The sequence below is a fragment of the Homo sapiens genome, chromosome X (genome assembly GCF_000001405.40).
Source record: "Homo sapiens chromosome X, GRCh38.p14 Primary Assembly".
Taxonomy (NCBI): Eukaryota; Metazoa; Chordata; class Mammalia; order Primates; family Hominidae; genus Homo; species Homo sapiens.
Genome location: NC_000023.11, coordinates 152,727,182 through 152,753,917, shown reverse-complemented (window position 1 = coordinate 152,753,917; position 26,736 = coordinate 152,727,182). Strand labels below are relative to the sequence as shown.

The following is a 26,736-nucleotide window of genomic DNA, read 5'->3' as shown; positions in this document are numbered from 1 at the left end:
GGAAGTCACGGGCCCGGATGTGACGCCACTGACTTGCGCATTGGAGGTCAGAGGACAGCGAGATTCTCGCCCTGAGCAACGGCCTGACGTCGGCGGAGGGAAGCAGGCGCAGGCTCCGTGAGGAGGCAAGGTAAGACGCCGAGGGAGGACTGAGGCGGGCCTCACCCCAGACAGAGGGCCCCCAATAATCCAGCGCTGCCTCTGCTGCCGGGCCTGGACCACCCTGCAGGGGAAGACTTCTCAGGCTGAGTCGCCACCACCTCACCCCGCCACCCCCCGCCGCTTTAACCGCAGGGAACTCTGGCGTAAGAGCTTTGTGTGACCAGGGCAGGGCTGGTTAGAAGTGCTCAGGGCCCAGACTCAGCCAGGAATCAAGGTCAGGACCCCAAGAGGGGACTGAGGGCAACCCACCCCCTACCCTCACTACCAATCCCATCCCCCAACACCAACCCCACCCCCATCCCTCAAACACCAACCCCACCCCCAAACCCCATTCCCATCTCCTCCCCCACCACCATCCTGGCAGAATCCGGGCTTTGCCCCTGCAATCAACCCACGGAAGCTCCGGGAATGGCGGCCAAGCACGCGGATCCTGACGTTCACATGTACGGCTAAGGGAGGGAAGGGGTTGGGTCTCGTGAGTATGGCCTTTGGGATGCAGAGGAAGGGCCCAGGCCCTCCTGGAAGACAGTGGAGTCCTTAGGGGACCCAGCATGCCAGGACAGGGGGCCCACTGTACCCCTGTCTCAAACTGAGCCACCTTTTCATTCAGCCGCGGGAATCCTAGGGATGCAGACCCACTTCAGCAGGGGGTTGGGGCCCAGCCCTGCGAGGAGTCAAGGGGAGGAAGAAGAGGGAGGACTGAGGGGACCTTGGAGTCCAGATCAGTGGCAACCTTGGGCTGGGGGATCCTGGGCACAGTGGCCGAATGTGCCCCGTGCTCATTGCACCTTCAGGGTGACAGAGAGTTGAGGGCTGTGGTCTGAGGGCTGGGACTTCAGGTCAGCAGAGGGAGGAATCCCAGGATCTGCCGGACCCAAGGTGTGCCCCCTTCATGAGGACTGGGGATACCCCCGGCCCAGAAAGAAGGGATGCCACAGAGTCTGGCCGTCCCTTGTTCTTAGCTCTGGGGGAACCTGATCAGGGATGGCCCTAAGTGACAATCTCATTTGTACCACAGGCAGGAGGTTGGGGAACCCTCAGGGAGATAAGGTGTTGGTGTAAAGAGGAGCTGTCTGCTCATTTCAGGGGGTTGGGGGTTGAGAAAGGGCAGTCCCTGGCAGGAGTAAAGATGAGTAACCCACAGGAGGCCATCATAACGTTCACCCTAGAACCAAAGGGGTCAGCCCTGGACAACGCACGTGGGGGTAACAGGATGTGGCCCCTCCTCACTTCTGTTTCCAGATCTCAGGGAGTTGATGACCTTGTTTTCAGAAGGTGACTCAGGTCAACACAGGGGCCCCCATCTGGTCGACAGATGCAGTGGTTCTAGGATCTGCCAAGCATCCAGGTGGAGAGCCTGAGGTAGGATTGAGGGTACTCCTGGGCCAGAATGCAGACAGGGGGCCCCATAGAAATCTGCCCTGCCCCTGCGGTTACTTCAGAGACCCTGGGCAGGGCTGTCAGCTGAAGTCCCTCCATTATCCTGGGATCTTTGATGTCAGGGAAGGGGAGGCCTTGGTCTGAAGGGGCTGGAGTCAGGTCAGTAGAGGGAGGGTCTCAGGCCCTGCCAGGAGTGGACGTGAGGACCAAGCGGACTCGTCACCCAGGACACCTGGACTCCAATGAATTTGGACATCTCTCGTTGTCCTTCGCGGGAGGACCTGGTCACGTATGGCCAGATGTGGGTCCCCTCATCTCCTTCTGTACCATATCAGGGATGTGAGTTCTTGACATGAGAGATTCTCAAGCCAGCAAAAGGGTGGGATTAGGCCCTACAAGGAGAAAGGTGAGGGCCCTGAGTGAGCACAGAGGGGACCCTCCACCCAAGTAGAGTGGGGACCTCACGGAGTCTGGCCAACCCTGCTGAGACTTCTGGGAATCCGTGGCTGTGCTTGCAGTCTGCACACTGAAGGCCCGTGCATTCCTCTCCCAGGAATCAGGAGCTCCAGGAACCAGGCAGTGAGGCCTTGGTCTGAGTCAGTGTCCTCAGGTCACAGAGCAGAGGGGACGCAGACAGTGCCAACACTGAAGGTTTGCCTGGAATGCACACCAAGGGCCCCACCCGCCCAGAACAAATGGGACTCCAGAGGGCCTGGCCTCACCCTCCCTATTCTCAGTCCTGCAGCCTGAGCATGTGCTGGCCGGCTGTACCCTGAGGTGCCCTCCCACTTCCTCCTTCAGGTTCTGAGGGGGACAGGCTGACAAGTAGGACCCGAGGCACTGGAGGAGCATTGAAGGAGAAGATCTGTAAGTAAGCCTTTGTCAGAGCCTCCAAGGTTCAGTTCAGTTCTCACCTAAGGCCTCACACACGCTCCTTCTCTCCCCAGGCCTGTGGGTCTTCATTGCCCAGCTCCTGCCCGCACTCCTGCCTGCTGCCCTGACCAGAGTCATCATGCCTCTTGAGCAGAGGAGTCAGCACTGCAAGCCTGAAGAAGGCCTTGAGGCCCGAGGAGAGGCCCTGGGCCTGGTGGGTGCGCAGGCTCCTGCTACTGAGGAGCAGCAGACCGCTTCTTCCTCTTCTACTCTAGTGGAAGTTACCCTGGGGGAGGTGCCTGCTGCCGACTCACCGAGTCCTCCCCACAGTCCTCAGGGAGCCTCCAGCTTCTCGACTACCATCAACTACACTCTTTGGAGACAATCCGATGAGGGCTCCAGCAACCAAGAAGAGGAGGGGCCAAGAATGTTTCCCGACCTGGAGTCCGAGTTCCAAGCAGCAATCAGTAGGAAGATGGTTGAGTTGGTTCATTTTCTGCTCCTCAAGTATCGAGCCAGGGAGCCGGTCACAAAGGCAGAAATGCTGGAGAGTGTCCTCAGAAATTGCCAGGACTTCTTTCCCGTGATCTTCAGCAAAGCCTCCGAGTACTTGCAGCTGGTCTTTGGCATCGAGGTGGTGGAAGTGGTCCCCATCAGCCACTTGTACATCCTTGTCACCTGCCTGGGCCTCTCCTACGATGGCCTGCTGGGCGACAATCAGGTCATGCCCAAGACAGGCCTCCTGATAATCGTCCTGGCCATAATCGCAATAGAGGGCGACTGTGCCCCTGAGGAGAAAATCTGGGAGGAGCTGAGTATGTTGGAGGTGTTTGAGGGGAGGGAGGACAGTGTCTTCGCACATCCCAGGAAGCTGCTCATGCAAGATCTGGTGCAGGAAAACTACCTGGAGTACCGGCAGGTGCCCGGCAGTGATCCTGCATGCTACGAGTTCCTGTGGGGTCCAAGGGCCCTCATTGAAACCAGCTATGTGAAAGTCCTGCACCATACACTAAAGATCGGTGGAGAACCTCACATTTCCTACCCACCCCTGCATGAACGGGCTTTGAGAGAGGGAGAAGAGTGAGTCTCAGCACATGTTGCAGCCAGGGCCAGTGGGAGGGGGTCTGGGCCAGTGCACCTTCCAGGGCCCCATCCATTAGCTTCCACTGCCTCGTGTGATATGAGGCCCATTCCTGCCTCTTTGAAGAGAGCAGTCAGCATTCTTAGCAGTGAGTTTCTGTTCTGTTGGATGACTTTGAGATTTATCTTTGTTTCCTGTTGGAATTGTTCAAATGTTCCTTTTAACAAATGGTTGGATGAACTTCAGCATCCAAGTTTATGAATGACAGTAGTCACACATAGTGCTGTTTATATAGTTTAGGGGTAAGAGTCCTGTTTTTTATTCAGATTGGGAAATCCATTCCATTTTGTGAGTTGTCACATAATAACAGCAGTGGAATATGTATTTGCCTATATTGTGAACGAATTAGCAGTAAAATACATGATACAAGGAACTCAAAAGATAGTTAATTCTTGCCTTATACCTCAGTCTATTATGTAAAATTAAAAATATGTGTATGTTTTTGCTTCTTTGAGAATGCAAAAGAAATTAAATCTGAATAAATAATTCTTCCTGTTCACTGGCTCATTTCTTTACCATTCACTCAGCATCTGCTCTGTGGAAGGCCCTGGTAGTAGTGGGGATTCTAAGGTAAGCCAGACTCACGTCTACCCATAGGGTCATAGAGTCTAGGAGCTGCAGTCATGTAATTAAGGTGGCGAGAAGTCCTCTAGGATGTAGTGGAAATGTAAGACAGGGGTGAGGGTGTGGGGTTCCAGGTGAGAGTGGTGAGTATAAATGCCCTGAGCTGGGGCAATTTGGGATCTGGGAACCTGCAGTTCCTTCTGAAGGAGCTGATTCTAATGATGCCCGGTGGGTCCAGGGCCAGATTCTCAGAGGGTGAGAGAAAAGCCTGGAATGGAATGCTACCCTGAGCAGTTTCTTTAGGATGGGGATGAAGAGAGAGGAATCTCCACCTGGGGCTGGAATGGAAGGTGTCCTGTGTTTTTGCCCAATGCTGTTGAACACAGCCCAAGATCTAGGTGATGGACACCCATCATCTGCAAGGGTTTCCTGAGCGATAAGGCTGAATTTCCCAGGAAGGGTGACCCAGAAGCCACTGGCCAGGTGCTTTTCTTTTTTTTTTTTTTTTTTTTTTTTTTTTTTTTTTTTTTTTTGAGACGGAGTCTCGCTCTGTCGCCCAGGCTGGAGTGCAGTGGCGGGATCTCGGCTCACTGCAAGCTCCGCCTCCCGGGTTCACGCCATTCTCCTGCCTCAGCCTCCCAAGTAGCTGGGACTACAGGCGCCCGCCACTACGCCCGGCTAATTTTTTTTGTATTTTTAGTAGAGACGGGGTTTCACCGTTTTAGCCGGGATGGTCTCGATCTCCTGACCTCGTGATCCGCCCGCCTCGGCCTCCCAAAGTGCTGGGATTACAGGCGTGAGCCACCGCGCCCGGCCGGCCAGGTGCTTTTCTGCCAGGCAGGGAGAGCCAGAGCTGACTCCATTAAAAAGGCATTCTAACTAGGTTATCTCAAGTGCAATTTGACCAATTGTAAGCACGGGCTAGATTCTGGATGGTAACAAAGTGGATGAATATAGTGGTTTGGATGGGAAAGCAGCTGGGAGAGAGGGAAGGAGTTGGTCTTTGACTCACATTCTAGGAGCTTTGAGCTGCACCTGGCTGGGCAAAACTCCCGCACAACCAAATTTTGAAGTGCATTCTCTAAGAGGAAATACTTAACTGAATTTTATGGAAGAAGCTTCTGTTTGGGGCTAATTATTCCATGTCCTATTGAGCTGTATGTTCTCTGATAAGTCCTGGAGAACAACGACAACAACAACAAAATCCCAGTGTTCGGGCCTCGGGTTAAAGCATATTGGAAATAACAGCCATCCGCCATTTGTGAAACTTCCAATTTACACCAGGCCCGGAGCCAGGTGGTTCACCTGCGTTGCATACACTCCGACTGTCCTACTAGACAGGCCTTATCACATCTGCTTACAGATGAAGAATCCAGGGCTTACAGAGCTTGTGAATTGGGATATAAGAACAGGGTATTTCCTGGGTATTTCTCAGTATCACGTGGCTAGTAAGGAACAGGGCTGGAACCAGACCCCTGGCATGAATTCCTTTAGAGCCCATGCTGTCCCCACTTCTCCGAGCCCGAGGCTGACCTCCTGACAGCGACTTCATTTTTCTTCTCAGCACTGCACCATGTCTCTCAGGTGACAAAAAGAAGGACCTTGAGGCCAGCATAATGAAGCAGGCCTGGAGAACGCGACAGTGAGAATCAAACACCATTTGGGGCTGGTGTGCGCTAGGTTCCTTGAGAGCTAACTCTGCCCAGTTGTGGGCATTTCTCTGCAGCCCCAGCACTTTCAGAATTACAGCACATTTCCCCGGGTCACTTCCATGTGTCCTGTCTGACTCTGGAACCTATAGGGCCTGCTGATCAGCTCCTCACTGATCCTCACAGAACAGCCCAGAATCCCCTGCTCACCTCCTGACAGGGAGCATTCCTTCTCATAGTAGAAGTCCTCTGGCTGTTCCGTCTCTCACCCAGGAAGCCATATGATGTCAAAAACCCTTTTGTATAAAAACTCACACGGGGACAGTGACGCTTAGACACTTGGTTACCACTCTGGTTGTCTTCAACACACTCTCTAATCGTTTTCTGAATGGGCTGAGGAGTCTGATTCGCCATATTATCTAAGGGTTCTTGTGTGATGTCACCCTGAAGTTAGAGGGATTTGGAACCACCTTGATACTTGAAATCGGACTTTCACAGGGCGTCCTTTTGGAATTCGCCTCTGAATACATGCACAGATAAATGATCAAAGAGCAAACCGTCTCTCATGAGTATTAGATGAGAAAAACCTTGGGAAACCCCAGTGGAACAAACATCTACTTACTGAGGCTGAATTCCTAAATTTCTGGAGTCCTCCAGGAGTTTAAAAACTATACCTTGAAAACATGTCAACTCTAATGAAAGAGGAATAATTAAGCAGCCTTCTGTTTCTTGTCTGTTTACCTGCTCCACAGGAAAATACTGGCCTTCAGCGTGCCTACCTCGACAGGTGTACAGGCGTGTGGAGGGTAGCAGAAATTCACAGGTTAACATTTTGACCGGGAATCAAATGGAGGAACAATTCTCAGCCTACTAAGGATTTAAAGGATATTACAAAGGAAAGCCTTCCTGCTGAGACTTTCAAGATTCTTGAACAGTTAGTTGTGATCGTATGTTTGAAAACATCAGTCACATATTTGACACTGGAAAACGCTGGAGAACTTCAAGGTAAATTTGGCCTTCTCAGAAACTCCTCCTAGAAATGAGAAGGGTAGTATAATACCAAATGATCATAGTTGCTTTTTGTTGAGCACCCACTATGTAACAGTTTATGGGGAAGGGTATAGTACTCACCCACATTTTGTCTCTGTCTCCTTCCTGGACACATGGGAACAGTAAAGTCCTTGCAGTTAGGATCATGTGACTTTTCCTTTACACCAATACAGGAGCAGAAGCATTGTTTGTCACATCCAGGCATTTGAGAGCCAGTGTGCCATTTCCATGCTTTCTCTCCGCTTTCAACAGCAAACATGGCAGCTTCATCTTGAGATGACGGAATCAAAAGGTGGAAGCAGCTTGGATCCCTGGGTCATGTGAGAGTGGAGAGCCCCTGCCAAACCGCATCAGAACTTATTTGCACATAAAATAAACTTCTGTTGTGTCAAGCCATTCATGGTTGTTCTGTTGCATCAGCTAGCAATTACTTAAACTGACACGGCTAGTATTTCTGTTGTCAGTATTAAATATTTTTTATTTAAAATGTAGTTTGGTATATATTCTTATTTCAAAAATGATAGAAATGTAGATAATTCACAATTTTTTTTTTACAAAGCTCCTCCACAGTTAACAACACCCCCCGCCCCCCCGCAGAGGTCACCACAATTAACAATGTTGTGTATTATTTTACTGCTGACTCTAGGCTTTTCACTGACAAACTATAACAATATATTATTTTTATTCAATATACAAGAACAATGACATACATACTGATCTGCTTTTATCACTTTATAAAATGCATGTAGGATCTTTCGACAACAGTATAGATGATAGATAGATAGATAGATAGATAGATAGATAGATAGATAGATAGATAGAGACAGGTAGATCTTTCTCACTTTTGAAACCACTTTCTATAATTCTAAAGTAGACATGCACCAAAATTAATTAAACTCTTTCTTCCTAATGGACATATAAGTTGTTTCCCATTTGCTATATGATAAATAGAATAAAATAAACATCTCTGCCTATGAATTTTAGGCAAACATGGTTTTCTTATAAGAAGGCTATATTAACATGGACATTGGGTTAAAGTGAAAGGGTGAAAATAGTTTAACATTTAAAATATTTCTAAAATGTTATTACAAAAATGCTGTACCAATTCAAATTCTCATAAAAATCACAATTGATTTAAAATTCTGAAGTGTGGACAGGATATTTCTTCTCTGCTTTGAGAAGGATTTGGTGAGACTGAAGAGGAACCAGGGAAGGAGAGCAGACAGGAGACCCTCAGCCTGTGAGGGAGGATCCAGGGAGGATCCAGGAGAGAGCCATTGCTAGTGTCAATGACAGAGAGCACATGCAAAACCAAGTCCACTGAGACCCAGGCAGGCTGGCACTCCGAGCTCTAAATCCAGACTTCAGGCCGGTGGGGTCAGGAGCCTGAGGGAGAGAAGGGGGAAGGGAGGGGGCAGGACAGGACAATGAACAGGAATAGGCTTGGGAAATCCTGGCACCATCATCACCAGCTGGAGGAGGCCCTGTGATCTGAGTGGGTAAGCCTGTTGGCTGAATGCACCAGGGCTGTGCTGGTCAACCTTCCCGCCCTCAGAATCCCCTTCCCTCTCTCCGGAATAGTTTGGCTGGCTCCCTGCATCATTCTGGGCCAGCTACCTCTCTTGAACCCTCCAGTGGTCCTTTGCACCTTCGCCAGCATCCCAGATCTGGGAGAGGCCTTCATGCATGCTGGGGGCTGGTGTTTTATCCCCTGGGGGCCCTCCATAGAGGCTGGGCTATGTGAGTGTGTTGCTGACTGATGACCAACTGCCAAAACAGGCCAGGAATGCCCATGAGCAGTTGAAAGGGGCAGTGGGGCTGCATGGAGGAGAAATGGGAGGAAGAGTGCCCTGGGACTAGTCAGCTCAGACTCTGCAGATGAAGGATTGGCTGTGGACGTGCCTTGAAAATGAACCAGGTGGTGACTGCGTCTCAGATGGACTTCTGTGGCTTCTGAACTCTTGGCACACAAGAGGACTGGTGTCGTAGGGCAGTGATCGCTGGACTATGTTGCCAGCAGACACTGTCTGGCGTACAGGGCTGGCCCAAGGTGTGTACATGAGCAGGTTGTATGGCAAGGCGTTGGAGTTGGCAGCCTTCCTTGTTAAACTGATGGGGATGTGTGGGGTCCAATAAAGGAAACATCATGCACCATCCTGTTGGGAGCATCCTCACCTCCATGACGGTGTTTGGGCCTGGGGATAAGGCATCTGTAGTGACCCTCTCGTTGGTAGTTTCCACGGGTTTTTCTGAGCTCAAGTGAGCACAGGTGAAGGAACTGTGGGTTTCTTCATGCAGGTCGGAGGCCCAGGCCAGACCGACTCCATAATTTGAACCAAAGAATTCCCATGCCTGGTACTTTCATTCATTTCATGCACTTATTGATTCCTACAGAAAACTTTTATTCAATATATGCTGAGGAAACACCAAGTCAAAAAAACACAAGAAAGCAGCAGTGCCCTTAACTCAGTCTATGGGGGGCGTGAGGGAGATGGTGAGGTGGAAAGACACGGAAGAGTTTTAGGAAGTGAGGGACTGTGAACTGATGGAGAGAATCTCTATTGACCTGACTTCTGAGGTTGGTGACGTTGCTCCCTTAGTTGAGAGGGAGGGAGAAGGGTAAGAGTTGGTGGTGATTTGATGAAGAAGAGTGTGGAGGATGAGATCCGTGGGCAGCATTTTAAAGCTCAGTCTAGGATTTTTTTAGACATGGATGTTTTATGAAAATATATAGTGTTTTAACACCCACAGGTAGTGATGCACGTATTGATATGTCACATGCCTTTGCCACGTAATAAGATGAACGCAAGGTCTTCCCACAACTATACCTACAATCGACATCACTTTTGTAAGTATTCCCTAGAATTCTAAAGTAGGTGTGTGCCATAGTTAATTAAACCTTTCCTTTCCTGATAAACACATACGTTCATTCCCATTTGTTGCTATGATTAATAGAACTGAAATAAACATACATTTTTGGACAGATATGCATGCTTTCCAATAAGAAAGATATAGTAACATGGACATTGGGTTAAAGTGGAAATGGTGTGAATAGTTTAACTTTTTAGAAGTATTGTCAAAATTTTATTCCAAAAATACTGTACCAATTAATTTTCTCACAAATTAATAGATGTGAATATCCTACACTCACAGAAAGATTTTGTGTTATCAATCTTCTCATTTTTGGTGAAAATTATGAATAAAATTTAGTGAAGAAATATTGTTTCACTGTTATTTTGTGTCTTTGCTTTCTCTAATTAGGTTAAGTACACACTAACTTAATCCCTCACCCATATGAAGTTGGATTTATACAGTGACATCCTGAGTAACATTTCTCTAGGCATGGTTTAACATTCTGAAATGGGGACAGGACATTTCTCTTGTGCTTTGAGAAGGAATTGGTCAGAATGAACAGGAGCCAGGGAAGGAGAGCAGACAGGACACCCTCAGCCCATGAGGGTAATCGGGAGGATCCAGCACTGATATGGTTTGATTGTTTCCCCACCCAAATCTCATCTTGAATTGTAGCTCCCATAACCTCCACGTGTCATGGGAGGGATCAGGTGGGAGGTAATTGAATCACAGGGATAAGTTTTTCCCATGCTGTTCTCGCCGTAGTAAATAAGTCTTAGGAGATCTGATGTTTTCACAAAGGGCAGTTCCCCTGCACATGCTCTCTTGCCTGCTGCCATGTGAGACATATCTTTGCTCCTCCTTCCCCTTCTGCCATGATTGTGAGGCCTTCCCAGCCATGTAGAACTGTCAGTCCATTAAACCTCTTTTTTTTATTATTATAAATTACCCAGTCTCAGGTATTTCTTCATAGCAGTATGAAAATGAACAAATACAAGGGGAGAGCAATGGCCAGAGTCCATGAGAGAGACCGTATATGAAACCAAGTCCACATTTCCCCAGGCAGGCTGGCATTCAGAGGTCTGAATCCAGAGTTCAGCCCGGTGGGGGCAGGGACCTGAGGGAGAGAAGGGGGAAGAGAGGAGGGAGGGCAGGACAATGAAAAGGAATAGGCTTAGGAAATTCCAGCACCATCGTCACCAGCTGGAGGGGGCCGTGTGATCTGAATGGGCAGGCCTGTTGACTGAATACACCACGGTTGTGCTAGACACCCAACCCTCCCTCAGAATCCCTTTCCCTCTCTCACGAAGAGTATGGCTGGCTCCCTGCATCATTCTGGGTGAGCTCCCTCTCTCCACCACTCCAGTGGTCGTGTGCACTTTTGCCAGCGTCCCAGGGCAGGAAGTTGTCTTCAAGCCTGCTGCGGGCTCCTGTTTTATCTCCTGTGGACCCTCCATAGAGCCTGGACTATGTGAATGGGTTGCTGATTGATGAGCAACAACCAAGACAGGCCAGGAATATTTATGAGGTGTAAAAGGTGGCAGCAAGGCTGCATGGAGGGGAAGTTGGAGGAAGAGTGCCCTGAGACTAGTAAGCTCCTACTCTGTAGATGAAGGATTGGCTGTGGACATGCAATGAAAATGATCCAGGTGGTGACCATGTCTCAGATGGACTCGTGAGGCTTCTGAGCTCTCGGCACATGAGGAGACAGGTGTACTGGGGCACTGATCACAGGCCTGTGTTGCCACCAGACAGGGTCTGGGGTAGAGGGTTGGCCCAAGCTGTGTATGTGAGCAGGTTGGATGGCAAGGCAGTGGAGTTGGCACCCTTCCCTGTTAAACTGATGGGGATGTGTTTGGTCCAATAGAGGAAGCGTCATGCACCATCCTGTTGGAAGCATCCTTACCTCCATGATAAGTGTTTGAGCCTGGGGAGAAGGTGTCTGCAGTGACCCTCTCCGTGGTAGTTGCCATGGAATTTCTGAACTCAAGTGAGCACAAGTGAAAGAACTGTGGGTTTCTTCATGTAGGCAGGAGGCCCAGGAAGGGCAGACTCCATAATTTGAATCAAAGAATTCCCATGCCAGGTGATTTCATTCATTCCATGCACTTATTGATTCCTACAGAAAACTTTTATTCAATATATGCTGAGGAAACACCAAGTCAACAAAACAATAGAAAGTGGCAAAGCCCTTAATTCAGTCTGTAGGGAGTGGGGGGAGATGGTGAGGAGGTGTGAATCGCCCATCTGAGCCAGGGAGGCCAGGAAGGCAGAGCCAGACTTGGGGACTGGCAGTGTGCAAGAAAAGGAGAGACAGCCTGTGTCCAGGCCAGAAAGCTCTCCTTCTATGACAGTATTGGTCTGGTTTTCCTCCTGGATACTGCCTGTGTCTGAAAGCAACTGCTGCTCTCTGTGCCTACCTGCCTTTGTTAACAGGGAAAATGGTCATGGTCAGCGGATGCTCACTTCTGCTCACCTTGGATCACTTCTACTGAAGAGATGGTTTGACAGCAAGCAGACAGGAAGAAACTTTTGGGGAGGATGAATATATTTTTCACCTTCACTGTGGTTGTGGTTTGATGGGACTAAATGTTTGTCAAAACTCTTTGATTTGTTTCTCAGTACTTAGGAGAAAAAGTAAGCAGAAAACCAGGAAGGATATAGATGACCTGAAAAGCACCATTAACTACTCTGACTAAATAAAACAATAAGAAAAGCACCGCATTCAACAATAGCAGAATAAACAATCCTCTCAAGTGTGCATGAAATATCTCCCAAGATAGATGGTATTCTGGGCCATCAAACAAAGCTTACAAATTGAAAAGAATAGAAATAATAGAAAGCCTCTTCTTAGACCATAATATAATAAAACTCAAAACCAAACACCAAGATATCTGAAAAATGCCCAAATATTGGAAATTTTAAAATAAGCTCCTATATAACCTATGGGTCAAAGAGGGAGTCCCAGGAGAATTTTAAAAATACATTAAGTTGAATGAAAATAAAAATGTACATACAAAAAGTGGGATTCTGCTAAAGTGTGTCCTTGAGGGAAATATATAGCATATTTTAAATGTTTATATTAGAAAATGAAATCTAAAATCAATAACCATAACTTTCACTCTAGGAAACCAAAGAACGAAGAGCAAGTTGAATTTAAAGAAATTGTAGAAGATCCCACCTCCCTCCCTTCTCACACTCCCACCTCTTCCCCCTTACTCCCTACCCCTACCATTTGAGACACACAGACACACACATCATTTTACAACATGTTCATTTTATTTTCGTCACCATGGGGTATACCCTTTGGGGTATAAAATGTACTCTACACCCTGTTGGCTATTTTTCTGGGGTTAGACCTCTGGAGACTTTTCAGGTAGCCTTGAGGTTTCTGGCCTTGCCCGGGAATTACTGGCTGCCCAAAGAGAGACTGGAGAAGGTGGTGGTCTCCTTGCCCTTGTGGTCCTACTGTGTCTCATTTTGATTGAGTTCTTTTGGCTGGTCGGAGTGGCTGGATAGTGTTGGCCCACTCCATTCCTCAGGTTTTTTTGAAGCGGTGGTCTTTTAGGGAGAGCCTTTTGTTCCTGGAACTTCCTTGACGGGTCCCTGTTCCCTTCCAGGTTGTCTTGGCAACCTGGAAAACCAACCAGGAGATCAAAGAAGGGCACTGGTTTGGGGAAGAGGATGGAGAAGGGGTGAGAACAGGGGCTTCATAGAGAAATGGGGCAGGGTGGGGTGGGGGTTGTGCCAGGGGAGGACAGGGTAGGATTTAGAGCTTCGGTGGGCCGTTCACTTTGATAGGGCTTCTGGGCTAGGGTTGAGAGGATGCTTTCCACTTCCTCACCTCTTTGGTGTTGGTGGGTGGTTGTTGGACAATGGGCTGGAGGCTCGTGGTTTCCTGGACATCTTCACCAGACCAGTGTCTCTCAACAGTCTACTCCAGTCCACCTGGTCTCTCCATGCCTCCCCCAGGACAGTGAAGGCAGGCCAGCAGGCTAGAAACTCACAGCGCATTTTTATGTTAGTCTTGTGGTAGAATTCCTTTTCCAGGAAACCTTGGTCTTTTCTCTTAACACCTTCAACTAATTGGATGAGGCCTATCCACATTATGGAAGTTAAACTGCTTTACTTAAAGTCAACTGATTGTAAATGTTGATCACATCTACAAAATACCTTCACAGCAACATCTAGACTACTGTTTGACCACACAGCTGAGCAGTATAGCCTAGACAAGTTGACACATAATACTAGCCGTTGCACATATCTTGCACCATACAAAAATGTAACTCAAAATGAGCCACAGACTTTATATGTCACAATTACATTGCTTTTTTTTTCTAGGACAAAACAAAAAAAATTGTGTTACCTGAGGTTATGTCTTAGCTTAGGCTGCCATAACAAAATGCCATTGACTGAGTAGCTGAAACAACAGAAATTTATCTTTTTTCAGTTTTGAAATGTGGAAGTCCCAGATCAAGGACTGGCGGGGTTGTCTTCTGGTGATGGCCTTATTCCTGGCTTGTAGATGGCCCTTTATTAATTTGTCAGTTCTTGGCCTTTCCTCTGTGTATGTGCAGAGAGAGAGAGAGGAAGAGAGAGAGAGAAAGAAAGAGAGAGAGAGAGAGAAGTCATGCAGGCACAAAAGTACTTTCTTCTGTTTCTTCTCCCTTCTTACAATCACACTAATTCTGTGGGATCAAGCTCCCACCCTTATGGCCTCTTTTAACATTAATTACTACCTTAGAAGCCTCATCTCCAAATACTGACACCCTGGGGCTGAGGGTTTCAAAATATGAATTTGGTGGAGGACATAAGCATTAGCAAAGAATAGACACATAGATTAATAAAACAGAATAGAGCTCAGAAATAGACCTGCACACACATAGTCAGGTGATTCACAACAAAGGCAATAATGGTGAAAGTACAGGTTTTCCAACAAAAGGTGCCTGAACAATTAGACACCTATACACAAATTATAATAACCTAGACATATCCTTACATATTGCACGAAAATTAACTCAATACATCATAGACCTGATGAAAAATACAAGAACTATACAACCTCTAAAAGAAAACGTAAGAGAAAATCCACATAACTTTGAGTTTGGTGATGAGTTTTTAAATTCAACACCAAAAGCATGATCAAGGAAAGAAAAATTTGCCAAGTTGATTTTATTAAAATAAAAATTTTATGCTCTTCAAAGGACAATGTTAAGAGAATGAAAACAAGCCACAGTCTAGCAGAAAAAATCTGTGGTACACATATGTGATAAAGAACTTGTCTCTACAATATATACGAATTCTTAAAGCTCAATGATAGAAAAAATGAAAATAGTCAAAGATCTGAACACAATCTACACAAAAGAAGATACACACAGGGCAAATAAGCATAATAAAATACTGAGTGTCCTTTGGCATTAGATAATTGTGTACTAAAGTGAGATACTACTACACACCTATTAGAATGTCTAAAACCCATAAAAAAGCAAAACAAAACCAAGACCAATTGCCAGTGAAGATGTGGAGCAACAGAAACTCCGGGCGTGGTGGAAATTAGAAGTTTAACAAATGGCCGATGGCTGTTATTTCTAATATTTTTAAAGCCTAGGCATTAACACTCTGGGACTTTGTTGTTGTTGTCGTTGTTCTCCAGGAGTCATCAGAAAATATACAGCTCAACAGGACATGGGATAATTAGGCCAAAAAGGAAGCTTCACCTGTAAAATTCAGTTAAGTATTTCCTCTTAGAGAATGCACTTCAAACTTTGTGTGTGCGGGAGTTTTGCCCAGCCAGGTGCAACCCAAAACTCCTAGAATGTGTGTCAAAGACCAATTCCTTCCATCTCTCCCAGCTGCTTTCCCACCCAAACCACTATTTTCATCCATTTTGTTACCATCCAAAATCTGGCCCACGCCTACAATTGGTCAAATTGCACTTGAGATAACCTAGTTAGAATGCCTTTTTAATGGAGTCAGCTCTGGCTCTCCCTGCCTGGCAGAAAAGCACCTGGCCAGTGGCTTCTGGGTCACCCTTCCTGGGAAATTCAGCCTTATCGCTCAGGAAACCCTTGCAGATGATAGATTTTCATCACCTAGATCTTGGGTTGTGTTCAATAGCAGTGGGACAAAAGCACAGGACACCTTCTATTCCAGCCCCAGGTGGAGATTCCTCTCTGTTCATCCCCCATCCGAAATAAACTACTCAGAGTTGCTTTCCATTCCAGGCTTTTCTCTCATTCACTGAGAATCTGTGGGCCCTGGACCCACCCAGCTTCATCAGAGTCAGCTCCTTCAGAAGGAACTGCAGGTTCCCAAAGTCCAAAATGCCCCAGCTCAGGGCATTTACACTCCACAACTCCCTCCTGGAACCCCACACCCTCACCCTTCTCTTATATTTCCTCTACATCTTACAGGACTTCTTGCCACCTTAATTATATGACTGCAGGTCCTAGGCTCTACAACCCTACGGGTAGGCGTGAGTCTTGCTTACCTTAGCATCCGCACTACTAACGCAGAGCCTTCCACAGAGCAGATGCTGAGTGAATGGAAAATAAATGAGCCAGTGAACAGGAAGAATTATTTATTCAGATTTAATTTCTCTTAAATTCTCAAAGAAGCCAAGGATATCCAGGTATCCATGCTTTTTTTTCAAATTTACAGAATAGAGTGAGGTATAAGGCAAGAATTAAGTATCTTTTAACTTCTTGAGGTCTTTATCTCATGTATTTTACTGCTAATTCTTTCACAATTCTAAGCACATACTTTTTCCACTGCTGTTATTTGTCACAATTCACAAAATGGAATGGATTTCCCAATCTGAATAAAAAACAACACTCTTACTCCTAAACTATATAAACAGCACTATGTGTGACTACTGTCATTCATAAACTTGGATGCTGAAGTTCATTCAACCATCCGTTAAAAGGAACATTTGAACAATTCCAACAGGAAACAAAGATAAATCTCAAAGTCATCCAATAGAACAGAAACTCACTACTAACAATACTGACTGCTCTCTTCAAAGAGTGAAGAATGGGCCTCATGTCACACGAGGCAGTGGAAACTAATGGATGGGGCCTTGGAAGGTGCACTGGCCCAGACCCCCTCCCACTGGCCCTGGCTGCAACTCGTGCTCAGACTCACTCTTCCCCCTCTCTAAAAGCCCATTCATGCAGGGGTGGGTAGGAAATGTGAGGTCCTCCACTGATCTTTAGCAAATGGTGCAGGACTTTCACATAGCTGGTTTCAACGAGGGCCCTTGGACCCCACAGGAACTCGTAGCATGCAGGATCACTGCCGGGGACCTGCCGGTACTCCAGGTAGTTTTCCTGCACCAAATCTTGGGTGAGCAGCTTCCTGGGATGCGCAAAGACACTGTCCTCCCTCCCATCAGATGCCTCCAACACACTCAGCTCCTCCCAGATTTTCTCCTCAGGGGCACAGTCGCCCTCTTTTGCGATTATGGCCAGGACGATTATCAGGAGGCCTGTCTTGGGCACGATCTGATTGTCGCCCAGCAGGCCATCGTAGGAGAGGCCCAGGCAGGTGACAAGGATGTACAAGTGGCCGATGCGGACCACTTCCACCACCTCGATGCCAAAGACCAGCTGCAAGTACTCGGAGGCTTTGCTGAAGATCACAGGAAAGAAGTCCTGGAAATTTCTGATGACACTCCCCAGCATTTCTGCCTTTGTGAATGGCTCCCTGGCTCGATACTTGAGGAGCAGAAAATGAACCAACTCAGCCATCTTCCTACTGAGTGCTACTTGGAAGCTCGTCTCCAGGTCAGGAAAGGTGCTTGGCCCTTCCTGTTCTTCGTTGCTGGAGCCCTCATCGGATTGACTCCAGAGAGTATAGTTGATGGTAGTGGGGAGGGTGGAGGCTCCCTGAGGACTGTGGGGAGGACTTGGTGACTCGGCAGCAGGCACCTCCCGCAGGGTGACTTCCACTAGAGTAGAGGAGGAGGAGGCAGTCTCCTGCTCCTCAGTAGCAGGAGCCTGCGCACCCACCAAGCCCAGGGCCTCTCCTTGGGCCTCAAGGCCTTCCTCAGGCTTGCAGTGCTGACTCCTCTGCTCAAGTGGCATGATGACTCTGGTCAGGGCAGCAGGTAGGAGTGTGGGCAGGAGCTAGTGCTGCTCCGGGGCCTGTCTCCTCAGAACCTGAAGGAACAAGTGAGAGGGCGCCTCAGGGTACAGCCGGCCAGCACATGCTGAGGCTGAAGGAATGACAGTAGGGAGGGTGAGGCCAGGCGCTCTGGAGTCCCATGTGTTCTGGGGCCGGTGCGGCCCTTGGTGTGCATTCAAGGCAAACCTTCAGTGTTGGCACTGTCTGCACCCCCTCTGCTCTGTGACCTCAGGACACTGCCTCAGACCAAGGCCTCACTGCCTTGTTCTTGGAACTCCTGATTCCTGGGAGAGGAATCCATGGGCCTCAGGGTGCAGACTGCAAGTACAGCCACAGATTCCCAAAATTGTCAGGAGGGTCGGCCAGACTCTGTGAGGTCCCCACTCTACTGGGGTGGAGGGTCCCTTCTGTGCTCACTCAGGGCCCTCACCTTTCTCCTTGCAGGGCCTAATACCGCCCTTTTGCTGGCCAAAGAAACTCTCATGGCAAGAATTCACATCCCTGATACGGTACAGAAGGACATGAGGGGACCAACATCTGGCCATACATAACCAGATCCTCCCACAAAGGACAATGAGAGATGTCCAAATTCATTGGAGTCCAGGTGTCCTGGGTGACGAGCCTGCTTGGTCCTCACCACTACTCCTGCTAGGGCCTGAGAGCCTCCCTCTACTGACCTGAGTGCAGCCCCTTCAGACCAAGGCCTCCCTTTCCCTGACATCAAAGATCCCAGGATAATGGAGGGACCTCAGCAGGTAGCCTTGCCCAGGCTCTCTGAGGGAATAGCAGGGGCAGGGCAGATTTCTGTGGGGCCCTCTGTCAGCGTTCTGGCCCAGGGGTACCCTCAATCCTACCTCAGGCTTCTCACCTGGATGCTTGGTAGATCTTAGGACCACTGTGTCTGTCGACTACATGGGGGCCCCTGTGTTGACCTGAGTCACCCTCTGAAGAAAAGGTCCTCAACTCCCTGAGATCTGGAAACAGAAGTGAGGAGGAGCCACATCCTGTCACTCCCAGGTAGGTTGTCCAGGGCTGACCCCTTTGGTTCTAGGGTGAGGCTTCTGATGGCCTCCTGTGGGTTACTCATCTTTACTCCTGCCAGGGACTGCCCTTCCTCAACCCCCAACCCCCTGAAATGAGCAGACAGCTCCTCTTTACACCAACACCTTATCTCCCTGAGGGTTCCCCAACCTCTTGCCTGTGGTACAAATGACATTGCCAATTGGAGCTATCTCTGATCGGGTTCCCTTAGAGCTAAGAATAAGGGACAGCCAGACTCTGTGGCATCCCTTCTTTCTGGGCCGGGGGTATCCCCAGTCCTCATGAAGGGGGCACACCTTGGGTCCGGCAGATCCTGGGATTCCTCCCTCTGCTGACCTGAAGTGCCACTCCTCAGACCACAGCCCGCAAATCTGTCACCCTGAAGTCGCAATGAGCATGGGGCACATTAGGCCACTGTGCCCAGGATCCCCCAGCCCAAGGTTGCCACTGATCTGGACTCCAAGGTCCCCTCAGTCCTCCCTCTTCTTCCTCCCCTTGACTCCTCGCAGGGCTGGGCTCCAACTCCCTGCTGAAGTGGGTCTGTATCCCTAGGATTCCCGCGGCCGAATGAAAAGGTGGCTCAGTTTGAGACAGGGGTACTTTGGGCCCCTGTCCTGGCATGCTGGGAGCCCTCCGGACTCCATTATCTTCCAGGAGGGGCTTGGGCCCATCCTCTGCTTCCCAAAGGCCGTACTCACGATACCGACCCCCTTCCCTCCCTGAGCCACAGATGTGAACGTCAGGATCCGCGTGCTTGGCCGCCATTCCCGGAGCTTCCGTGGGTTGATTGCAGGGGCAAAGCTCCGATTCTGCCAGGATGGGTGGGGATGGGAATCGGGGTTTGGGGGTCCCGTTGATGTTTGAGCGATGGTGGTGGGTTTGGTGTTGGGGGATGGGGGTGGGGTTGGTGTTGGGGGATGGGAATGGTGGTGGGGGTGCGGGGGGTTACCCTCAGTCCCCTCTTGGGGTCCTGACCTTGATTCCTGGCTGAGTCTGGGCCCTGAGCACTTCTAACCAGCCCTGCCCTGGTCACACAAAGCTCTTACACCAGAGTTCCCTGCGGTTAAAGCGGCGGGGGGTGGCGGGGTGAGGTGGTGGCGACTCAGCCTGAGAAGTCTTCCCCTGCAGGGTGGTCCAGGCCCGGCAGCAGAGGCAGCGCTGGATTATTGGGGGCCCTCTGTCTGGGGTGAGGCCCGCCTCAGTCCTCCCTCGGCATCTTACCTTGCCTCCTCACGGAGCCTGCGCCTGCTTCCCTCCACCGACGTCAGGCCGTTGCTCAGGGCGAGAATCTCGCTGTTCTCTGACCTCCAACGCGCAAGTCAGTGGCGTCACATCCGGCCCCGTGACTTCCCTGGGTTCACAGCAGGGGTGGAACTGGATTCTTCCTGGATGGGGATCCAGATGGAGGTGGAGGTAAGCATGAAGATGGTGTTGGGGGTAGGGGTAGGGATAGGGACGGGGATCCTGAGGCTGTAGATCCTGGTGGGGTTGGGGGAGTTGGGGGTGGGAGGGGCCTTTGGTCATCCCTCAAGGTCCTGACTTGGATGCCAGGCTGAGCCTGGACCGCCATCCTCTGCCGATTGTGTCTGCTCCCCTCAGACCAAGTCTCTGACTCTGAGTCCCCCTGAAGTGGCACTGGGGGAGGGGTGTGGTCGGGGTGACATTATTGCCTAAGTTTACCAGGGCTGACAAGAGGGACTGAGCTGGATTCTGTGGTCCCACTACGTGGGGGAGGGTGGACCCTCAGTCCTCACTCAAGAGGGTCCTCTTCCTCACTCCTGGCTGTTGGATGAAGTGATTGGCAGGAGATACTCTGTTTCTGTAACGTCTGTGCATTTGCACAGCTGCACCCCTTGTAGAGAATGGCTGCGGGTCCCAGGCCAGGAGCTCCCTGCAGGGCGGGAGCTCCCACGATCGTATTGACCTCTGGAAGAAGACAGACACTTTCCCACGGGAGCTCCTCTCCAGCCAGAGCTACACTTGGCAAACCTTTGGTCCTAAATGATTTATTCACTGAATTGAAGAAATACGGTTTACATATCTTCCAAGTATATATGTAGGTAGCGATATATATATTTATTTCTACGAACTAACACCTACCCTTAGTATGCATCGTTCACTCTTACTATCCTAATCTACTTCTATTCCAGTCTTTGTGTTCTGTTGAAGGAATTTTTTTTTAAACGTAATTCCTCTCCCACTATGTTGGTTTCAGGTTGTTATTAGCAGAACTCTGGAGCCATGCTGCCTTAACAAACCCAATTTTCCTGGTGTCCTGCTATTACCTAGGGCTCTTGGCATCGTGTTTTCAGGAGCTGCCTCAGATTGTGCAATGAAGTGAAGTGGAAATTTTAAAACTTTTATTCTACCCATTCTGTTATCTGCCGTCTAGGCAGGCTACAAACCTCCCCAACATCCCTGCCGCTAACCCCCTCTAACCGACACGGCAAGTGTCACACACAAGTACCAGCTCAACAAGGTCTTCAGTCTCACCCTGGACTGGCCCTGTTTTGTTGTGTAGATTTTCTTGCTAATACTGGTTTTTTACTTTCTGTTTCCATTCTATAAATTTACAGGGTTGATTTGGGAAGCAGAGCACAGCAGCCCAAATTTGCTTGTAATGTCGGCGACTACAGGTAAGGCACTAAATTGTAAATAATTTAAGCTGAGTTTACATTTTTACACTGTTGTGTTCCCCATGAATGAATATGTTATACTCCTCTATGTATGTCAAGCTATTTTTTCCTGAATATGTCAGTATACTTCGATAGTTGCCTCTATAAGCAGCTTATACATTTTTATTAGACTTCTATTCAGGTAATTCTTGGATTTTATTGCTATTGCAAATGGCATATTGTCTATTAATTGCTGTAGTTAGTTATTGCTTTCGTGAGGTGAAGATTTTGATTTTGCTGTAGTAATCTGTTGCACACCTCATTCTGAAGGCCGATGCACTTGAATATTCCACATGCCTTTTCCTTTGAATTTTCAAGATCGATAATGGTATTATCACTAAACATTACATGTTTTTCCAATATTCATACCACTTACTCATTTTGATACTTATAGCTTTTTGTGTCTCAATCCTGATTTCAAACGTAGAGATAATAGGCTACATCTACTTCTCGTTCCTGACTGGAATGATAGTTCTTCGAACATTTGACATTTAAGTATGTTTGCTGTTGATTTTAGGAAATGGAAGTGCTCTTTGAATATAGGTTAAATAAATATTTTCTTTTTTCCATAAACTCATTAAATGTCTTTAAAAAGCTTTTTCTGTACCCTTTGACAGGATCAAATTTTTTCTCCTCCATTTTGTATGTAAGGAATTACAATGAAACCGTTTTTTTTTTTCTGATGTTAAATCATATGTTATTTCCTTGGGCAGAGCCTGTCTATTTGTTTAATATGCTACTAATTTAGGTAAGGTATTTACTGCTAGGTAAGGGAGCTTACTTGGTGTGTTCTTTTTCCATCGGGGAGGGATGTGGTCCTCATCTGATTTTGAATCCAGGAGGGCTAGTCTGGGAGAATGAACTGAACAATTGTCAATCTTTTGTATGTTTTGGAAGAGTTGATATAAGATGGTGGTTAGTTTTCCCTGATCATTTGGTAGAATTGGCCTCCAAAACTGCCTAACCTGGAATGTTTGAGGGTGGCTTGAGCTTTGAATATTGTACAGTTTCAGTTTGTATAGTTTAATTAAAGTTTTCTTTTTCTTTTTGGATCAGTTTGGTTACTGATGTATTTTATTTCTATGAAGTGGTCAGTTTCATTTAGGATTTCACTTTTAATGGCATATTTGTGATAAAAAACGTTTTATTAGGGAAAGCCTTCACACATACAGAATAACAGAAACTAATATTATGAACCCAGGATACTTGATACCGAGCATGAACAACTTTAAATACACAGCAAAGCTGGTTCCAGTTAGACACTTGCCTACCTGCATATGAGCTTCTGTAATAACGTGGAGCCAATCTAAGGCATTAGACCATTTCATCTCTAAACAATTTAACATGCATTTTAAAGGAAAAGGACTTTTTATTAAACAAAAACCCAATAGCATTGATATCTAAAAAATTAAATAAATGATTATCAAATGTTCAACTATTTTACAAACTTATCTGGAAGACATATACTTTATAAAATATATATTTCTTTGATGAAGTACCCAAATATGATAACTTTCCCCCCACTTGCTTCACTGTGGTGGTTTCATACATCTATAATACAGCTAGGTTTCTGTGTGTGTAACATTTTACATTCTGTTCTGTGATTCTCCAACCTCTTAAGTTACTTTTAGACGTTACATACATTAAGCTTCACTCTTTGTGCTGTAAAGATCTATGGGTTTTGACAAATGCCTCTTGCCATTGTCTTAGTCCGTTTGGGCTTCCATAACAAAAATAGTGTAGACTAGGTGGCTTATAAACAACACAACTTTATTTCTCACATTCTGGAGGTTGGAAAGTCCAAGATCAAGGTGCTGGCAGATTTCATGTCTGGTGGAGTCCTGCTCCCTAGTTCCTAGACACCTGCCTTTTCCCTATGTCCTCGCATGGAGGAAGGGGCAAGGGATCTCTGTGGGGACTATTTTATAAAAACACTGATCCCATTCATGAGGTCTCTGCTCTCATGAACTAGTCATTCTCCAAATACCCCACCTTCTACCTAATACCATCACCTTGGTATTTCAGCAGATGAAGTTTGTGGGAACACAAATATTCAGATGAAAGCAAGCACGGAACCACCATTACAGTATTACCATACTAGTTTCACTGCCCTGATAAATCCCCTGTGCTTGTCAGATAACCCCCTTGGCTGCCACTGATAGGTTTTTCATCTTTATAATTTTGCCTTTTCCTGAATGTCATATAAATAGACTCGTATACTATGTAGCCTTTTTAGACTCGTTTCTTTCTAGACTCGTTTCTTTAGACTCGTTTAGCATAATGAACTGAAGAGTCATGTAAAACTTTGTGCAGCTTGTAACTTATTCCTTTTCATTGAGGAGTAGTAGTATCATTGGGTGTACCATATTTTAATGCGTGTGTGTGTGTATGTGTGTATATATATATATATATAATCCATTCACCAAATGAAATACATTTTGGATGCTGCTATTTTTGGTGATTGTGAAATAAGCTATTGTATACATTCATATACAAATTTTTATGTAGACATAAGTTTTCAAATCAATTGGGTAAATTGATTGAGTATGGCTGCTGAATCTTACGCTAAGTCTATGTTCCGTTTTTTAAGAAAACGCCAAATTGTCTTCCAAAGTGGCTGTGCCATGTTGCATTTCCACGAGCTATGAATGAGAGTTTCTGTTGCTCCACATCTTCCCTGGCAATTGGTCTTGGTTTTGTTTGCTTTGTTTTGCTTTTTTATGGATTTTGGACATACTAATAGGTGTGTAGTGGTATCTCATTTTAGTACACAATTATCTAATGACAAAACACGCTTAGTACATTTATTATGCTTATTTGCCATGTGTGTATCTTCTTTTGTGTAGTGTGTGTTCAGATCTTTGACTATTTTCATTTTTTTCTATCGCTGAGCTTTAAGAATTCGCATATATTGTAGAGACAAGTTCTTTATCACATATGTGTACCGCAGATGTTTTCTGCTAGTCTGTGGCTTCTGTTTTCATTCTCTTAACATTGTCTTTTGAAGAGCACATGATGTTTATTTTAATAAAATCAACTTGGCAAATTTTTCTTTCCTTGATCATGCTTTTGGTGTTGAATTTAAAAACTCATCTCCAAACTCAAAGTTATGTGGATTTCTCTCATGTTTTCTTATAGAGGTTGTATTGTTTTTGCATTTTTCATTAGACCTATGATGTATCTTGAGTTAGTTTTCATGGAATATGTAAGGATATGTCCAGGTTATTATAATTTGTGTATAGGTGTCTAATTGTTCCGACACCTTTTGTTGGAAAACCTGTACTTTCACCATTATTGCCTTTGTTGTGAATCACCTGACTATATGTGTGCAGGTCTATTTCTGAGCTCTATTCTGTTTTATTAACCTATGTGTCTATTCTTTGCTAATGCTTATGTCCTCCACCAAATTCATATTTTGAAGCCCTCAGCCCCAGGGTGTCTGTATTTGGTGATGAGGCTTCTAAGGAAGTGATTAATGTTAAAAGAGGTCATAAGGGTGGGGCCTTGATCCCATAGAATTAGTGTGGTTATAAGAAGGGAGAAGAGACAGAAGATAGCATTTTTGTGCCTGCATGAGCTCGCTGTCTCTCTCGCGCGCTCTCTGCACATGCACAGAGGAAGGGCCAAGAATGGACATATTGAGAAAGGGCCATCTACAAGCCAGGAATAAGGCCATCACCAGAAGCCAACCCCGCCAGTCCTTGATCTGGGACTTCCAGACTTCAAAACTGTGAAAAAAGATAAATTTCTGTTGTTCCAGCTACTCAGTCAATGACATTTTGTTATTCTAGCCTGAGCTGACTAGTACATAACCTCAGGTAACACAATTTTTTTTTGTTTCCTCCTAGAAAAAAAGCCCGTAATTTTGGCATTTAAGATTGCGGTTCATTTTGAGTCACATTTTTGTACGGTGCAAGATATTTGCAGTGGCTAGTATTATGTGTCAACTTGTCTAGGCTATACTGCTCAGCTGTGTGGTCAAACAGTAGTCTAGATGTTGCTGTGAAGGTATTTTGTAGATGTGATCAACATTTACAATCAGTTGACTTTAAGTAAAGCAATTTAACTTCCATAATGTGGATAGGCCTCATCCAATTAGTTGAAGGTGTTAAAAGACCAAGGTTTCTTGGAAAAGGAATTCTACCACAAGACTAACATAATAATGTCGTGTGAGTTTCTAGCCTGCTGGCCTGCCTTCACTGTCCTGGGGGAAGCTCGGGGAGACCAGGTGGACTGGAGTAGACTGTACAGAGACACTGGTCTGGTGAAGATGTCCAGGAAACCACGAGCCTCCAGCCCATTTTCCAACAACCACCCATCAACACCAAAGAGGCGAGGAAGGGGAAAGCATCCTCTCATCCCTGGCCCAGAAGCCCTATCAAAGTGAATGGCCCACCCAAGCTCTGACTCCTACCCTGTCCTCCCCTGGCACAACCCCCACCCCAGCCTGTACCATTTCTCTATGAAACCCCTGTTCTCACCCCTCCTCCATCCTCTTCCCCAAACCAGTGCCCTCCTGTGATCTCCCTGTTGGCTTTCCAGGTTCCCAAGACAACCCAGAAGGGAAAAGGGACCCGTCAAGGAAGTTCCAGGAACAAAAGGCTCTCCCTAAAAGACCACCGCTTCAAAAAAACCTGAGGAATGGAGTGGGCCAACACTATCCAGCCACTCTGACCAGCCGAACGAGGAACTCAATCAAAATGCGCCATAGCAGGACCACAAGGGCAAGGAGACCACCGCCTTCTCCAGTGCTTCCTTGGGCAGCCAGTAATTCCCAGGCAAGGCCAGAGACTTCAAGTCTATCTGAAAAGTCTCCAGAAGTCTAACCCCAGATAAATAGCCAACAGGGTGTAGAGTACGTTTTACACCCCAAAGGGTATGCCCCATGGTGATGGAAATAAAATGAACATGTTGTAAAATGATGTGTGTGTCTGTGTGTCTCAAAGGTTGGGGGTAGGGCTTAAGGGGAAGAGGTGGGAGTGTGGGAAGGGATGGGGGGATCCTCTACAATTTCTTTAAATTCAAATTGCTCTTTGTTCTTTGGATTCCTAGGGTGAAAGTTTTGGTTATTGATTTTAGATTTCATTTTCTAATATAAACATAAAATATGCTATACATTTCCCTCAAGGAAACACTTTAGCTGAATCCCATTTTTGTATGTATATTTTTATTTTCATTCAACTTAATGTATTTTTAAAATTCTCCTGAGACTCCCTCTTTGACC

The 26,736-nt window shown here is 46.9% G+C and overlaps 3 protein-coding genes and 1 pseudogene across 16 annotated transcripts, besides 1 other annotated feature; 2 read left to right on the top strand and 2 right to left on the bottom strand.

Annotated features, from left to right (window-relative positions):
- Positions 1-33: 33 nt before the first annotated feature.
- MAGEA2 (MAGE family member A2) lies at positions 34-4,055 on the top strand. 8 transcript variants are annotated; one of them, NM_175743.2, is made up of 6 exons: positions 34-130; positions 527-605; positions 1,405-1,524; positions 2,096-2,193; positions 2,344-2,409; positions 2,490-4,055. In NM_175743.2, exon 6 carries the CDS (start codon positions 2,555-2,557, stop codon positions 3,497-3,499), a length of 945 nt encoding a protein of 314 aa, NP_786885.1. In that variant the 5' UTR covers positions 34-130; positions 527-605; positions 1,405-1,524; positions 2,096-2,193; positions 2,344-2,409; positions 2,490-2,554; the 3' UTR covers positions 3,500-4,055. The 8 variants fall into 8 exon arrangements, with proteins under 8 accessions (NP_786885.1, NP_786884.1, NP_001269430.1 ...); NM_175742.2 differs by lacking the exon at positions 2,096-2,193 and adding an exon at positions 295-376; NM_001282501.2 differs by lacking the exon at positions 527-605.
- Positions 4,056-12,932: 8,877 nt separating this feature from the next.
- Positions 12,933-20,091, bottom strand: CSAG4 (CSAG family member 4 (pseudogene); annotated as a pseudogene). Its single transcript, NR_073432.1, is given in 4 exon segments — positions 12,933-13,306; positions 13,517-13,667; positions 14,039-14,235; positions 20,059-20,091. The product of NR_073432.1 is annotated as a CSAG family member 4 (pseudogene) (transcript).
- MAGEA12 (MAGE family member A12) lies at positions 16,249-20,161 on the bottom strand. 3 transcript variants are annotated; one of them, NM_001166387.4, is made up of 3 exons: positions 20,059-20,161; positions 18,665-18,770; positions 16,249-17,831 (listed from the first exon to the last, which is right to left on the bottom strand). In NM_001166387.4, exon 3 carries the CDS (start codon positions 17,754-17,756, stop codon positions 16,812-16,814), a length of 945 nt encoding a protein of 314 aa, NP_001159859.1. In that variant the 5' UTR covers positions 17,757-17,831; positions 18,665-18,770; positions 20,059-20,161; the 3' UTR covers positions 16,249-16,811. The 3 variants fall into 3 exon arrangements, with proteins under 3 accessions (NP_001159859.1, NP_001159858.1, NP_005358.2); NM_001166386.3 differs by lacking the exon at positions 20,059-20,161 and adding an exon at positions 19,884-20,056; NM_005367.7 differs by lacking the exon at positions 18,665-18,770.
- Positions 19,405-20,603: an enhancer, noted in NCBI's record as "CDK7 strongly-dependent group 2 enhancer chrX:151902449-151903648 (GRCh37/hg19 assembly coordinates)". NCBI's record gives its function as "activates an origin of replication core promoter dependent on BRD2, BRD4, P300/CBP, MED14 and CDK7 cofactors, with strong dependence on CDK7, by STARR-seq in HCT116 cells {active_cell/tissue: HCT116}" and the evidence as "EXISTENCE:reporter gene assay evidence [ECO:0000049][PMID:35650434]".
- On the top strand, positions 20,197-26,434 carry CSAG1 (chondrosarcoma associated gene 1). Of its 4 annotated transcripts, NM_153478.3 has the most exons (5): positions 20,197-20,250; positions 20,682-20,897; positions 21,414-21,473; positions 25,694-25,844; positions 26,055-26,434. In NM_153478.3, exons 3-5 carry the CDS (start codon positions 21,458-21,460, stop codon positions 26,122-26,124), a joined length of 237 nt encoding a protein of 78 aa, NP_705611.2. In that variant the 5' UTR covers positions 20,197-20,250; positions 20,682-20,897; positions 21,414-21,457; the 3' UTR covers positions 26,125-26,434. The 4 variants fall into 4 exon arrangements, with proteins under 4 accessions (NP_705611.2, NP_001096046.2, XP_047297814.1 ...); NM_001102576.3 differs by lacking the exon at positions 20,682-20,897; XM_047441858.1 differs by lacking the exon at positions 20,682-20,897 and having other exon boundaries at positions 25,694-25,895.

Coding starts and splice junctions, on each gene's coding strand:
- MAGEA12 (NM_001166387.4), bottom strand. CDS start 17,756: ATGCCACTTGAGCAGAGGAGTCAGCACTGCAAGCCTGAGGAAGGCCTT.
- MAGEA2 (NM_001282505.1), top strand. CDS start 2,555: ATGCCTCTTGAGCAGAGGAGTCAGCACTGCAAGCCTGAAGAAGGCCTT.
- CSAG1 (XM_047441858.1), top strand. Junction 25,896..26,054: donor GGCCCAGAAGCCCTATCAAA/GTGAATGGCCCA, acceptor TTGGCTTTCCAG/GTTCCCAAGACAACCCAGAA.